General features: G+C 41.9%; 1 protein-coding gene across 4 annotated transcripts in view; it reads left to right on the top strand.

Moving 5' to 3' along the window:
- The window catches only part of KIF13A (kinesin family member 13A), a 228510-nt gene that overhangs the window by 178282 nt on the left and 34156 nt on the right, over nucleotides 1-16072 (top strand). For all 4 annotated transcript variants that reach the window (NM_001105568.4, NM_001105567.3, NM_001105566.3 and 1 more), the window contains exons 18-25: nucleotides 424-586; nucleotides 3739-3879; nucleotides 4844-4993; nucleotides 9241-9402; nucleotides 9915-10088; nucleotides 12534-12685; nucleotides 14650-14782; nucleotides 14959-15105. In NM_001105568.4, coding sequence (NP_001099038.1) covers nucleotides 424-586; nucleotides 3739-3879; nucleotides 4844-4993; nucleotides 9241-9402; nucleotides 9915-10088; nucleotides 12534-12685; nucleotides 14650-14782; nucleotides 14959-15105 — 1222 coding nt within the window. The remainder of the gene's footprint in view (nucleotides 1-423; nucleotides 587-3738; nucleotides 3880-4843; nucleotides 4994-9240; nucleotides 9403-9914; nucleotides 10089-12533; nucleotides 12686-14649; nucleotides 14783-14958; nucleotides 15106-16072) is intronic.

Below are 16072 nucleotides of genomic sequence, written 5' to 3'. Positions count from 1 at the left end.
CCAACTGCAGAAGTCATGAAAAATAATTTCTTCTCCTAACTCCAGGTTTCTCTCATCTGCCAACCCCTCCCTGCCCCACCACCCTCCCTCAGCACACACAAGTCGTAATCATCGTTTGTTTTTCCCAAAGATTCCTGTACTGGTTTTTTGCATCCTCCTATCACAATCTGATCGTTTTCACGTGTTACATAATTTAAAACGTGGTTTTCAGTTAAGTTGCTCAACAATTTGCTTCCCATCAGTAGTTCTCAACAGATAGCCCATCTGTGGGCAGGAGGGAAGGATGAGAGGTAGTCTGGTAAAATAGTTTGAAAAATACTGCCCGAGAGGAGTTTTCTCCCATTTTCTAATAAGATGCTCACTTAGAAACGGGATTGCAGTTTTCCTTTAGATTTTCTCGTTCCCTTTTCTATGACACTGCAGGGATGAACTCTTCCGACAAAGCCTGGCAAAACTGCGAGAGCAGCTGGTTAAAGCTAATACCTTGGTGAGGGAAGCAAACTTCCTGGCTGAGGAAATGAGCAAACTCACCGATTACCAAGTGACTCTTCAGATCCCTGCTGCAAACCTCAGTGCCAATAGGAAGGTAAGAATGTCCTTCAAGTGAGAGGGCAAGATGCACAATAGTAAATATTGTAAAATAGGATCTAAAACTGAAACCCCAGAAACATGCCTGAGGAGATCCTGATATCAGCCAGAGATGTTTATTTTTTTCAAGACATTCTTTATATACCTCATTGGATAAGAATGCTATTTAAATGATGTTCTTAGATATGTAATAAGCAGAATACACAAAATTTTAGTGGCTGAAGGACTTCCTAATTTATATGCCTTCTTTAAAACAATAAAACTGGAAACATGTATTTTGCCTGCTTTTTTTTGCATGTAAATGCCCCTTTCTGAAATGGGGGAATACATGTAGGCTGTAGTACCTGAGGGTTTTGTTTGTTTGTTTGTTTGTTTGTTTTTAGACTGAGTCTTGCTCTGTCACCCAGGCTGGAGTGCAATGGCATGATCTCAGCTCACTGCAATCTCCGCCTCCTGGGTTCAAGCAATTCTCCTACCTCAACCTCCCGAGTAGCTGGGATTACAGGCGCGCACTAGCACACCCGGCCAATTTTTGTGTTTTTAGTAGAGACAGGGTTTTGCCATATTGGCCAGGCTAGTCTTGAACTCCTGGGTTCAGATGTTCTGCACGCTCAGTCTCCCAGAGTGCTAGGATTACAGGCGTGAGCCACTGTGCCCAGCCTGCTATGGTACCTTTTTAAGAGTGAATTCTACAAGAAAGGAAGACTTTTCATGATACCTGACTTCAAATACACGGCTCTCTTTGCAAGCGTCTGGGAGTTTCCTGTCATTTCACCTTGAAGAATTTTTCCTGTAGGGAGAAACTTTGAAGAAAATTGTTTTTCATTTTTGTTGCTGTTGTTGTTTATCAGGGGAACCCGCCCACAATATTTCATTGTAGGTTCTTTCTATTTTCCATAAGTGTCAGCCAGCTGAGAAATAAAGAGAAAGAGTACAAAGAGAGGAATTTTACAGCTGGGCCGCCGGGGGTGACATCACATATCGGTAGGACCATGATGTCCACCTGAGCCTCAAAACCAGCAAGTTTTTATTGAGGGTTTCAAAAGGGGAGGAGGTGTAAGAACAGGGAGTAGGTACAAAGATCACATGCTTCAAAGGACAAAAAGCAGAACTACTAATACCAGTCTAGCAAAGATCACATGCTTCTGAGGGAACAGGACAGAGGCAAAAGGAGAACCACTGATAAGGGTCTATGTTCAGTGGTGCACATATTGTCTTGATAAACATCTTAAATAACAGAAAACAGGGTTCGAGAGCAGAGAACCGGTCTGACCACAAACTTACCAGGGTGGAGTTTTTCCCCACCCTAGTAAGCTTGAGGGTACTGCAGGAGACCAGGGCGTATCTCAGTGCTTATCTCAACCAGGTAAGACATTCCCAGAGCGGCCGTTTATAGACCTCCCCCCACAATGCATTCCTTTCCCAGGGTATTAATATTAATATTTCTTGCTAGGACAAGAATTTAGCAATATATCTCCTACTTGCATGTCTGTTTATAGGCTCTCTGCAAGAAGAAAAATATGGCTCTTTTTGTCCAACCCTGCAGGCAGTCAGACCTTATGGTTGTCTTCCCTTGTTCCCTAAAAATCACTGTTATTCTGTTATTTTTCAAGGTGCACTGATTTCATATTGTTCAAACACACATTTTATAATCAATTTGTATAGTTAACACAGTTATCACAGTGGTCCTGAGATGACGTACATCTTCAGCTTACAAAGATAATAGGATTAAGAGATAAAAGTAAAGACAGGCATAAGAAATTATAAAAGTATTATTTGGGAACTGATAAACGTCCATGAAATCTTCACAATTCATCTTCCTCTGCTACGGTTCCAGCCGGTCCCTCCGTTTGGGGTCCCTGACTTCCTGCAACAGTTGTTGTTTTTTGAGACAGAGTTTCGCTCTTTGCCCAGGCTGGAGTGCAATGACATGATCTTGGCTCACTACAACCTCCGCCTCCCGGGTTCAAGTGATTCTCTTGCCTCAGCCTCCCAAGTGGCTGGGATTACAGGCATGCGCCACCACACCAAGCTAATTTTGTATTTTTAGTAGAGGCAGGGTTTCACCATGTTAGTGAGGCTGGTCTCGAACTCCTGACCTCAGGTGATCCACCCACCTTGGCCTCCCAAAGTGCTGGGATTACAGGCATGAGCCACCGTGCCCAGCCAGAAAATTGTTTTTCTATGACTCAGAAAAAAAGAAAAACTAAATTTAAAAAAAGTAAGAAAATTGTTTTTCATCCATTCACTTTTTCTTCCAGCAAGCAAGCTAGAAAATGAGTCAGGGAGTATCTTATCAGTCTTACTGGGTTTTAGTCTTTTGACCTAGTAGTTCCCCTTTGGGAAATTTATTCTAAGCCCATAGTCATAGAAGTGTCCATAGAGATTTATACACAAGGATGCTTATAGTGGACTTTATAATAGCAAAACCTTGAAACAGACATGATGTCAAACAATAGAATAATTACTCAAATGTATAGTACATCCAAATGCTAAGGACACTGCTGTGTTGCCATTAAAAAATCATGGTTATGGCTGGGCCTGGTGGCTCACGCCTGTAATCCTAGCACTTTGGCAGGCCAAGGTGGGCAGATCGCTTGAGTACAGGAGTTCGAGACCAGCCCGGGCAACATAACAAAACCCCATCTATACAAAAAAATACAAAAAATAAAATAAAAAATAGTCAGTCATGGTGTCATGTGCCTATAGTCCCAGCTACTTGGGAGGCTGAGGTGGGAGGATTCCTGGAGCCCAGGAGGTCAAGGCTGCAGTGCACTAAGATCATACCACTTCACTGCAGCTTGGATGATAGAGCAAGATCCTATCTCAAAAAAAAAAAAAAATCGTGCTTATGAAGAATATTTAACAATACAAGAAAAATGATCACAATATCAAAACTGGAGAGAGGATTGGGGTATGAAGTTATACTTTTGTTTGGTCTTGATCGTGATAAAAATTAAAAAGTGTGCATGAGTGTACATAGAAGGTAGAAAATAAACCAGACTATCCTCGTAGGTGGTAGAATTTTATCTTCTTTTGTATGCATTTATGTGTTTTGCAAACTTACTGTGTTACTGTTGTATATATATTGCTTTAGCAATCGAAAAAGGAGTTATAACAGGGTTTGTTTTGTTTTTCTTCCTTATGCAGAGAGGTGCAATAGTGAGTGAACCAGCTATCCAAGTGAGGAGGAAAGGAAAGAGCACCCAAGTGTGGACCATTGAGAAGCTGGAGAATAAATTAATTGACATGAGAGACCTTTACCAAGAATGGAAGGAAAAAGTTCCTGAGGTAAAAGAGACAAAATGTAATGGAGATTTTGTTATGTTAAAAACAGAGAATATAAGCGATTTAGCAACACACACACACACACACACACACACACACACACACACGGAGATGTGCTCATGATACGTTAGATATTATATTAGGAAAATAAAGTACAAGTGATTTTGAAAGAAGCGCTAAGTTGGATCAGTAATACAACACATGATCCCCACACAGTTGGGAACTAAATGAAGAAAACATATAGTAGATTCTTATTTGGCTTCATGTTTACTACATTTCAAGTGAAAAGAAGTAGAATGAAGTAAATTTATGCCATTTTATCGGTGCTGTGAAAAATCAGCTTGACTGGAGCCAGTGTGGATTTCGCATTCATTAATGTGTGTTCACGCACCCCTAGCTGTGATCGTGGCCAGGTAGATTACTAAGAGTAATTTAAGCTTGCATAATCCATTTTTTGGACATTAGCAGTGGAAAAGAAGACTTGGCAAAGGAGATGAGGCAAAACAAAGGGGATGAAATGAAAAAGCTGCAAGTGAGGTAGATAAGGAAGACAAGGCAGGAACTGAAGAGGAATCTTCTGCACAGGCATTAGTTAGCTCCCCAGCAAACAGGCCCCTCCCATGGGCTAATTCTTTTTTTTTTTTTTTTTTTTTTTTTTTTTTTTTTAATGGAGACAGAGTCTCGCTCTGTCACTCAGGCTGGAGTGGTGTAATCTCAGCTCACTGAAACCTCTGTCTCCTGGGTTCAAGCGATTCTCGTGCCCCAGCCTCCTGAGTAGGTGGGACCACAGGCGTGCGCCACCACGCCCAGCTAATTTAGTTTTTATTTATGTGACATTATAATTTTACTTGCTGTTTAAATGGATAGATTCTTTAAATTTTTTTTCAAATGCTAGTTTTAAATAATATTATTTAAATTGATGTTATGTTTCTTATTCGTCCACTCACTGGCCCCTCCTACTTCTCAGGCAAAGAGACTCTACGGAAAACGAGGTGACCCTTTCTATGAAGCCCAAGAAAATCACAACCTCATCGGGGTGGCGAATGTATTCTTGGAATGCCTCTTCTGTGATGTGAAACTTCAGTATGCAGTCCCTATCATCAGCCAGCAGGGGGAGGTAAGCACAGGCCAGCCTTGGAGAACGATGGTGGTTCAAGTTTTTTGTTTTGTTTTATTTTGTTTTTCATTCTATTTAAGCTATGTTCTTGAGGTGGATCAAGAAACTAAGGCAAATAGTCAAGGTCTGCATTCTTTTTTCTCTACTAATAATCGATATTAGAAGCTTTGAGGATTAAGTCATGGTTTTGTTTGTTTGTTTGTTTGTTTGAGACGGAGTCTCACTCTGTCGCCCAGGCTGGAGTGCAGTGGCGCGATCTCGGCTCACTGCAAGCTCCGCCTTCCGGGTTCACGCCATTCTCTTGCCTCAGCCTCCCGAGTAGCTGGGACTACAGGCGCCCACCACCATATCGGGCTAATTTTTTGTATTTTTAGTGGAGACGGGGTTTCACCGTGTTAGCCAGGATGGTCTTGATCTCCTGACCTTGTGATCCGCCCGCCTCGGCTTCCCAAAGTGCTGGGATTACAGGCGTGAGCCACGGTGCCTGGCCCAAGTCATGGTCTTAAAAGATTATTATAACATTTAATATTTGGAGGTCACAAGTTTTTTCTTTGTTTTAATCAAATGGGAAATATTTTGGAAACCATATTCAGCTCTGTGCCCCATATCGCTCTCTCTTTTTAAAGGTAATCTCATACCTTTGCGATATACTCTAGTTCCTTCCTGGCCCCTAAATGGTCTTTGTAAGATACAACTCAGGAGGATTATTTTGCAGTCCAAAGTACTCAAAACAAAACAGGCTTCAATGACTCATTGTTACCCTCCTTTTAAACTCTGGTATTTCAGCTATTTAGATATAGTGGCCTAGGTAGGCATAAGATATTTCAGAAAATGTACGTTGAACTACCAGGTTATTTCTTGTGATTCTTAGAGCAGGTGAAGAATAAGATGCCATTCTGCCCAAAGTGAAGCTGCGATATAGACCCGGGTTCCCAGTTGTGGGGTGTAAGTGCACAGCCCACCCTCCACTATGGAAACACCCCATGGACATTCTGCTCCAGAGGACCAGTGCCTAACAGAGCTTTTTCCCATGGGAAAAATGGGCACAGTTAGGAGTCTGAAACCAGCCTGGTCAACACTATGAGACCCCATGTCTAAAAAAGAAATTTAAAAATTGACCAGGCATGGGCAGAGTGCAGTGGCTCACGCCTGTAATCCCTGCACTTTGGGAGGCAGAGGCAGGTGGATCACAAGGTCAGGAGTTCAAGACCAGCCTGGCCAATATGGTGAAACCCCGTCTCTACTAAAAATACAAAAAAATTAGCCAGGCTTAGTGGCGGGCACCTGTAGTCCCAGCTACTCGGGAGGCTGAGGCAGGAGAATCGCTTGAACCCGGGAGGTGGAGGTTGCAGTGAGCCAAGATCACACCACTACATTCCAACCTGGGTGACAGAGCAAGATTCTGTCTCAAAACAAAACAAAAAAAAACAAAAAAAACACAAAAAAATTAACCAGGCATGGTGATGAGCACCTATAGTCCCACCAGCTACTCAGGAGGCTGAGGTGGGAGGATCACCAAAGCCCAGGTAGGTCTAAGCAGCAGTGAGCCATGATCATACCAATGCACCCCAGCCTGGACAACAGAGCAAGACCCTGTCTCAAAAAGAAAAAGCACAGTTAACATGGCAGAGTGATTCAGTGGCTGAGTCCCTAGTTCAGGACTTCTTAATTTGGAGTCTGTGGTATGCTTTGAGTATTCCATGAATCCCCCTGAAATTATATTAAAATGAATTAGATTATCGAAAAGCATTAAAAAGAAAAAAAAAAGCTTGGCCGGGTGTGGTGGCTCACGCCTGTAATCCCAGCACTTTGGGAGGCCGAGGCAGGCAGATCACCTGAGGTCCGGTGTTCGAGACCAGCCTGACCAACATGGAGAAACCCCATCTCTACTAAAAATACAAAATTAGCCGGCGTGGTGGCGCATGCCTGTAATCCCAGCTACTCCGGAGGCTGAGGCAGGAGAATGGCTTGAACCCGGGAGGCGGAGGTTGCTGTGAGCCGAGATCGCGCCATTGCACTCCAGCCTGGGCAACAAGAGCGAAACTCCGTCTCAAAAAAAAAAAAAAAGCTTAAGAACAACTATCTTCTGATTTCTTTTATTTCCTTTCTTCCCCCATCTTACTACTTCCTCCATATTTGTCTTACTTCTCAGATATCATCGAGTAATTTCTTGTAGGTCCTTGGTGCCAGTACCAATTGCTGTGTGGAAATTGGATCTGATCTACCTTTAAAAATAACCTTCCCTGTTTAGGATGATAGCAGTACTACCAGAACATGTGTCACCTTGTACACATGTGTAATGACAGCCACAGTCATTACAACCTGAAACTATGTTATGAAATATAATTAAGACAAAGCACTCCAAGAATGCAAATTTTAGAATAATCCTTTTCCTCTAATTTGATTCTGTGCAGCCAGCTTTAAGAAAAACACGGTTAAACTGGCTCCTATCCAGAGAGCCACCATGATAGAAAATTTAAAACCTTTTAATGAAAAAGTTTTAAAGTAACATTCCTCATATCTGTGTGGCTTTCAATATGCTGTTCCTCCTGGATTAGATCTAATGGCACTGCTTTATGGAGCCCTCCTTCATCCTGCTCCCAGCCCCAGTCTGAGTTACACACCCATTCTCTACTCTCAAGAGAATAAAAGCTGCGCGAGCCCGGGAACCTTGTCAATTTGGTTTGCTATTGGATGCTCATAGCACAGTTCCTGGCACAGTTAGTTCTTGGTAAATATGTGTTAGTGGATAAGTTTATCCCATAACAACTCGCACATATATCTATTATAGCAACTATTCTATGCTGTTATTAGTGAGTTTTGTTGCTGTTGTTGTTGTTGTTTTTGTTGTTGTTGTTTGAGACCGAGTCTCACTCTGTTGCCCAGGTTAGAGCACAGTGGTGCGATCTCGGCTCACTGCAACCTCCGCCTCGCGGGTTCAAGCAGTCCTGCCACAGCCTCCCGAGTAGCTGGGACTACAGGTATGACCCACCATGCCTGGCTAATTTTTTTTTTAATTATTTGTATTTTTAGTAGAGACAGGGTTTCATCATGTTGGCCAGGCTGCTCTTGAACTCCTAACCTCAGGTGATCCACCCGCCTCGGCCTCCCAAAGTGCTGTGATTATAGGCTTGAGCCACCACGCCTGGCCTGTTAGTGAGTTACTTCTCTGTCTTGCCTCCCTTTACTGTGAGTTGCCTGATGGCAGAACCTGTGTTTTTATTTTGGTATTTCATGAGCTAGCTGTTTGGTCAAATGAATAAGTGAATGAAGCATTTCATATTCACTCACATGAATAGGTGAGTGAATATATTTTAAAAAACATGGATAGCCAGGCATGTTGGCTCACACCTATAATCCCAGCACTTTGGGAGGCCGAGGCAGGCAGATCACAAGGTCAGGAGTTCGAGACCAGCCTGGCCAAGATGGTGAAAGCCCGTCTTTACTAAAAATACAAAAATTGGCCGGACACGGTGGCTTATGATTGTAATCCCAGCACTTTGGGAGGCCGAGGCGGGTGGATCATGAGGTCAGGAGTCCGAGACCAGCCTGGCCAACACAGTGAAACCCCGTCTCTACTAAAAATACAAAAATTAGCTAGGCATGGTGGCAGGCACCTGTAATCCCAGCTACTTGGGAAGCTGAGGCAGAAGAACCGCTTGAACCCAGGAGGTGGAGGTTGCAGTGAGCCGAGATCACGCCACTGCACTCCAGCCTGGGCAACAGAGCTAGACATTGTCTCAAAAAAAAAAAAAAATTAGCTGGGCGTGGTAGCACGCACCTGTAATCCCAACTACTCAGAAGGCTGAGGCAGGAGAATCGCTTGAACTCAGGAGGCAGAGGTTATAGCAAGCTGAGATCATGCCACTGCACTCCAGCCTGGATGACAGAGCAAGACTCCATCTTGGAAAAACAAAACAAAACATGGATACTAGATGACTCCAAGTAAAATGTGAGAGCTACCTTTAAGCTATTCCTGGGCTGTCCTTTGGAAGGATACATTTGAGGATGACTCCAGAAGGCAAGTTGCAGGGAGGCAAATTTGGCTCACACTAAGGCAGGATGATCACAGGGGCAAGTGGTGGAATGGACTGCTCTGGTAGTAGCAGGGCTCCCGTTGCCGAAGACGACCAAGCAGCAGCTGCAGAGCCCCTCTCCAGGTTCACTGTAGAAGGCACGTCTGTCTTGGGTCGAGGTTGCCCACAGGATGTCTGTTCACTCTAAGGTGCTCTGGTTCCTTGACCCAGGTTGCAGGGCGTCTCCACGTGGAAGTGATGCGTGTTACAGGAGCTGTTCCAGAGCGTGTGGTGGAGGATGACTCTTCGGAGAATTCCAGTGAAAGTGGGAGCCTTGAAGTCGTAGACAGCAGCGGGGAAATCATTCACCGAGTCAAAAAGCTGACATGTCGGGTGAGAGGACAGTGATGGGAGGCTCATATAAATGACCTTTTTCATGCAAAACCATTTTACAAAAAATCTTATGAGAGTTTTTCATCCAGGGTAGTAAAAGTTGGATTTTGTAACAGCAGATACAGTGGTGGACAGTACTTTGTTTTCAGAAATATAGCACACTTTCTTATGACAGTTGCATCAAATTTCAAAAGTGTTTATGTATTTGACATGCAAGAAGTGTATGTTGCTTAGTGAATTATGTTTTTCTATTAAAGGTTGCATCTCAGTCATTAGGAAGCTTTTGCAGGAATGTGTGTATTTGTTGCCAAGTTTATATACTATAGTTACAGAACTGTGGTACAGATTTCATTATCGATACAACCCTTAGTGTCACGGTGTCAGATATAATATTTTCACATGTCAAATGGATGACCAATTTGTTTCATCGCTTACTCTTAAATTTGAGGTAGCTGAAATGAAAGAATGTTTAGTGTTCATTGGAGTTTTATTTGTATTGTTTATCTCTTCAGGTAAAAATTAAAGAAGCAACGGGGCTGCCCTTAAACCTCTCAAATTTTGTCTTCTGTCAATACACATTCTGGGACCAGTGTGAGTCTACGGTGGCTGCCCCGGTGGTGGACCCCGAGGTGCCTTCACCACAGTCCAAGGATGCCCAGTACACAGTGACCTTCTCCCACTGTAAGGTACAAATGCCATTACCAAATGAGCTGTGTAGGAAGCAGCAGAAATTGGTGCAGTTCAACAATCAGTTGTCCCCACAAGCATTTGTTTTAAGTATAATATGTTTATTAGATGTTTTAACCTCAAAAATGTACCTCATTACAAATGCAAATAGTTTAGAAATATTTAAAATAAAATCTAAAAGATCTCTACCAACAGTCTTGTTCCCCAAAGATATAAACCACCAGTGACAGGTTGCTACATATTTCATTAAACTACTTTCTATGCTCTGCATCTTTTATATGTGTGTCATAACATATGTACATACACCCTTTTACATCATGCACACATAAGTTCTTTAAAAATGCTATGCAAAAGTGGGATCATATTATACATATTTCAGAATTTGCGCATCTTAACATGTAAGTTGCTATACATCTGATTCTTATGAATATAGCATTACATTCTAATGTATCATATGAGTGATATGTTTCATATAGAGTTTCTCATAAGTCATATGAGAAAATATAAAAAAAGGAAAGGTGAATTTGTGGTGAATGTGGTTGGATCTCCTTTGAGACATCATATACTCTTCCTGGCTTTCACAAGGACTGCTGACAAGTCATTTCTAAAAGACCAGCTCCATCCTCTCTATAGTTTTGTTTTTCCTTAGACTTCCCTTCATAGATACACAAGATCCCTTCTTTTGCAAATCATGCTTATTCTTTCTGGTTCTACACTTAGAAAACGAATCCATATCACCACCTATAAAATTTCACATAGGTAAGGGCTGTCAAGTTTTTCTTTTTCTGAAAACAAATAGCATACATTTATCTGTATTCAACAAGTCTGTTCCTCAAAATCTTTATTAATCATTTTTTATTGTTGTTCTCTGAATATTATTTTAAATATTCCCCATCTTTCTTTGAATCCACAAAGCTGCTTGTTTAGAAAGATGAAATCTGAATTTTAACTGTGTCCTGGTTAACAGCTGTTTTAATAAATGCTAGTCCCAGAGCTTCTGGGTTCTTATGATCTTGGAGTTTTTTGGATCTCTTGTGATCTTGGAGTTTTTTCATCTTGGAGTTTTTTCATCGCTAAAATGTATAGATTGTCATGAAGTTTCTTTTTCTTCTTAAATTCTGGGTCTATCTTCAAATAAAATAGACTAAAAAGCAGATACTATATGGTTAAATAAATATAGCACAACTGTTTCTGCAAATTAGAGTCACAAGCAATGTCTTCACCTGAGATTCCACCTAAAGACTAATGGAAAGAAAATTAGCTTGGCTCGTTGCCTACTTCGTTTTTCTGGGTGATTTGCCACCCATCTCAGTCAGTTCAGTATTCATTTCCTCACAATCATCTGTTTGGGTTTGTTTTTATTTTTAAAGACGATGTCTCACTCTGTTGCCCAGGCTGGAATGCAGTGGCACAATCACGGCTCACTGCAGCCTCGAACTCCTGGGTTCAAGTAATCCTCCTGCCTCAGCCTCCTGAGTAGCTGGGACTACAGGTGTGCACCACCACACCCGGCTAGTTTTTACTTTGTAGAGACAGGATCTCATTTTGTTGCCCAAGCTGGTCACTATCTCCTGGTCACTTTGTCCAGCTATCCTCCTGCCTTGGCCTCCCGAAGTGCTGGCATTACAGACGTGAGTCACCTTGCCCTGTCTGTTTGTGTTTTGGAAAGAGGAAATAGGGTAGGAAAGCTTAAGAGCAAGAGCATAAAGTCATGAAGATAACCATATAAAATTTAATTCTGTTATTATTCTCCTAAGCCATGGCAAGGAACAGTTCATTGAGTTAGTCTATGCCAGCTGAAAATCAGAGTGGTCCTGTGGAACTGAGAATGAACCAAGTGTAAGACGATGTAGATTCAGCTTTGCAACTAACAAACCGTATGACTTTGGACAATTTGCTTTCTTCATTTTCTTTATTGATATAAGAAACGGGTTGAGGCCGGGCATGGTGGCTCACACCTGTAATCCCAGCACTGTGGGAGGCCGAGGCAGGTGGATCACGAGGTCAGGAGATCGAGACCATCGTAGCTAACACGGTGAAACCCCGTCTCTACTAAAAATACAAAAAAATAGCCGGGCGTGGTGGCGAGTGCCTGTAGTCCCAGCTACTCGGGAGGCTGAGGCAGGAGAATGGCGTGAACCTGAGAGGTGGAGCTTGTAGTGAGCGGAGATCGCACCACTGCACTCCAGCCTGGGCGACAGAGCAAGACTCTGTCTCAAGAAAAAAAAAAAGAAAGAAACGGGTTGAGTTAAATTACCTCCCAATTTTCTTTCCAGATCTAACATTCTGTGGTTCTTTATGGTTTTCTATAAAACAGAAGAGACGGATTTAAGGTCACGATCAGGCTAATATACTCTAAAATAAATATAACAGTTGAAAGGTCAAAAGGAAATTTCACAGACTCCTTTAAGCATAATTCTTTTGCTTTCCCCCACTTATCCCAGGACTATGTGGTGAATGTAACAGAAGAATTTCTGGAGTTCATTTCAGATGGAGCACTGGCCATTGAAGTATGGGGCCACCGGTGTGCTGGAAATGGCAGCTCCATCTGGGAGGTCGATTCTCTTCATGCTAAGACAAGAACACTGCATGACAGGTTTGTACTTGGCTGTGAGCTTTAGGTACAAGGTTAAGACTAGGACTTGAGCAGAGTCTCTGAACCTACTCTGGCCTAGGAGGCTGCTTATAAAAAAATAAAATCATTTAAAAAAAAAAAAAAAAGAATGGCCAGGTGCGGTGGCTCATGCCTGTAATCCAGCACTTTGGGAGGCCAAGGCAGACGGATCATGAGGTCAGGAGTTCGAGACCAGCCTGACCAACATGGTGAAACCACATCTCTACTAAATACAAAAATTACCCAGGTGTGGTGGCACGCACCTGTAATCCCAGCTACTCAGGAGGCTGAGGCAGGATTTATTTATTTTTTTTTTATTTATAAAAAAATAAATTATTTATAAATAAATAAAACCCGGGAGCTGGAGGTTTCAGTGAGCCAAGATCGTGCCACTGCACTCCAGCCTGGGCAACAGAGTGAGACTCCGTCTCCAAAAAAAAAGAAAAAAAAGGAAAGAAAAAAAAAAAAAGAATACAGGCTTTGAATTCTGGGACTGCTGCCGTTATTTTGGACAAGTTATTTAACTTCTCTGAGCCTATTTCCTCGTTTGTAAAATGAGAATGATGAAAGAAATTACCAACCACCAAAGAAATTCAATGGGGAATGATATGTCCTATCAACAAATGAGACTGAAACAACTACATCTCTATGTGGAGAAAAATCACCCTTGTTCTTTACTTCACACCATATACAAAAATTAATTTGAGATGAATCATACATAACCTTAAATACAACAACTTAAACTATAATGCCTACAGAAGAACACAGGATTTTGAGATAGTCACATATTCTCAGGCCACAGAAAGTGCTAACCATGGAAGAAAAAATTGTTTAAGTTGGACTTAATCAAAATTAAAAGCATGTGCTCATCAAAAGACCACTATGAAAATGAATACACAAGCTGCAATCTGGGGGAGGACTGGCAGTTTCTTATCAAGTTGATCATTTGCCTCTTTTATGACCCAAGAATCCCACTCATAGGTATTTACCCAGGATAAATGAAAATGCAAGTCCACAAATAGAATTGTACACAATGTTCTTTTTTTTTTTTTTTGAGATGGAGTCTTGCTCTGTCTCCCAGGCTGGAGTGTGCAGTGGTGCGATCTTAGCTCACTGCAACCTCCACCTCCTGGGTTCAAGTGATTCTCCTGCCTCAGCCTCCTGAGTAGCTGGGCTTACAGGCGTGTGCTGCCATGCCCGGATAATTTTTTTTTTTTTTTTTGTATTTTTGGTAGAGACAGGGTTTCACCATGTTGGCCAGGCTGGTCTCGAACTCCTGACCTCAGGTGATCCACCCGCCTTGGCCTTCCAAAGTGCTGGAATTACAAGCTCGAGCCACCACACCCAGCCTATACGATGTTCATGGCAGTGTTATTCATGGTATCCCCAAATTGCAAATAACCCAAATATCCTTCAGTGAGTGAATGGGGATAAATTGGTATTATTCACAAATAAAGTATTACTCTGCATTAAAAAAGAAAAAAACTGTTTATATCCATATGGATGAATCTCAGAAACATTATGCTGAATGAAAGAAGCCAGACACAAGAATACATAATGTGTGATTCCATTTATTTGGAGTTCTAGAACAGGCAAAACTAATCTCTGAGAGTTACACAGTTGCTACGGGAATGTGGGGATTGAATGGGAATGCATATGAGCAAACTTTCTGAGGTGATAGGGCAGGTTACACTCATATGTGCATTTCTCAAAACTCATCGAGCTCTATACTCAAGATGTGGACATTTCAGTCTACCTCAGTAAAATAAATAAAAAGAAACAATATGACAGGTTGGTTTTGAGAGTTAAATAAGGAAGTAACTTATACAAGATAAATGGCACAGTGCCTAGCACATAGTAAGTGCTCAGTGAATGGTGGCTTATTACTATTACTAACAGTATCCCTGGACGATGACGCTCTTGCTTGTTGGAATGTGTTTCTGCAGGTGGAATGAAGTAACGCGAAGAATAGAAATGTGGATCTCCATATTAGAATTGAATGAGTTAGGAGAGTATGCTGCAGTGGAACTTCATCAGGCAAAAGATGTCAACACAGGAGGCATCTTTCAACTTAGACAGGTACTGAGTTTGTTTTGGGTTTTTTTTTAATGTTTTCTCTCTGTTCCACTCTTACACATTGTTTCTGGGGATTTTCTAACTATTTGTATCTTTATTCTCTAATCCTTTTCCCCTTCTTTATCCCGTTCCTTTTCATTATCATTCCTGGCACCCATACTCCTCCCCACCCTCTTCAGGGTCATTCCCGTAGAGTACAAGTCACGGTGAAACCTGTGCAGCATTCAGGGACACTGCCACTTATGGTTGAAGCCATCCTGTCAGTATCCATCGGCTGTGTAACTGCCAGGTCCACCAAACTCCAAAGAGGGCTGGACAGTTACCAGGTAAGACAAGCAGACTTAAAATAGTATTTAACAAAGCTTGGTTAATGCAGGTCCCAGGGGGACCTCTTTGCCAATATAACAGAACTCTTTGCCTTAACCGTAGATCTTCCCCCAGTTCACATTTCCATCCATTGCCTTTTTTCTAGCTTTAAAATCTGTTTGCTTAGTGTCAGTTAATAATAATTTTATTTATAAACACACGCATCCTAATGCTATAGTAGTCATTAACTTTAGGCAGATTTTATTTTATATCTGGCCCAAAATATGTTGTATCTTTGGCATTACTGCCTGACCTGATCCACTTTTTGGGTTTTTTTGTGTGTGTTTTTTTTTTAAAAGATAGGGTTTTGCTTTGTTGCCAGGTTGGAGTACAGTGGTGTGATCATGGCTCACTGCAGCCTTGACCTCCTGGGCTCAAACAGTCCTCCCACCTTAGCTTCTGAAGTAGCTGGGACTACAAGCACACATCACCACGCCCAGCTGATTCTTTTATTTTTTGTAGAGAAGGGCATGTCATTCTGTTGCCCACACTGGTCTCAAATTCCTGGACTCAAGTGATCCTCCTGCCTCAGCCTCCCAAAGTGTAGGGATTACAGGCATGAGCCACCGCACCTGGCCACTTTTATTTATAGTGTAAAATTATTTTCATACACTGTCATAATAAACCAGTTCTTTGAAAGCTTTACTTCTTTTTTTGTTAAAATTTGTCCTTATGATCATTTTTGCTCATTAAATCTTCATTTTCTAAACATTCTCATTTTAAAAATAAAAAGATGAAAACCTCTAAGAATTGATCTAAGAATTGATCGTATTATCAGTCAGAACTATTCAGTACTCCATGAAAAGAATCTCTAAAATTAGGAACTTGGCCAGGCGCGGTTGCTCATGCCTGTAATCCCAGCACTTTGGGAGGCTGAGGTGGGAGGATCACTTGAGCCCAGGAGTTCGAGACCAGCCTGACCAACAT

This window comes from Homo sapiens, chromosome 6, assembly GCF_000001405.40.
Source record: "Homo sapiens chromosome 6, GRCh38.p14 Primary Assembly".
In the NCBI taxonomy this organism is placed as follows: Eukaryota; Metazoa; Chordata; class Mammalia; order Primates; family Hominidae; genus Homo; species Homo sapiens.
This window is presented reverse-complemented; position numbering and strand designations above follow the sequence as displayed.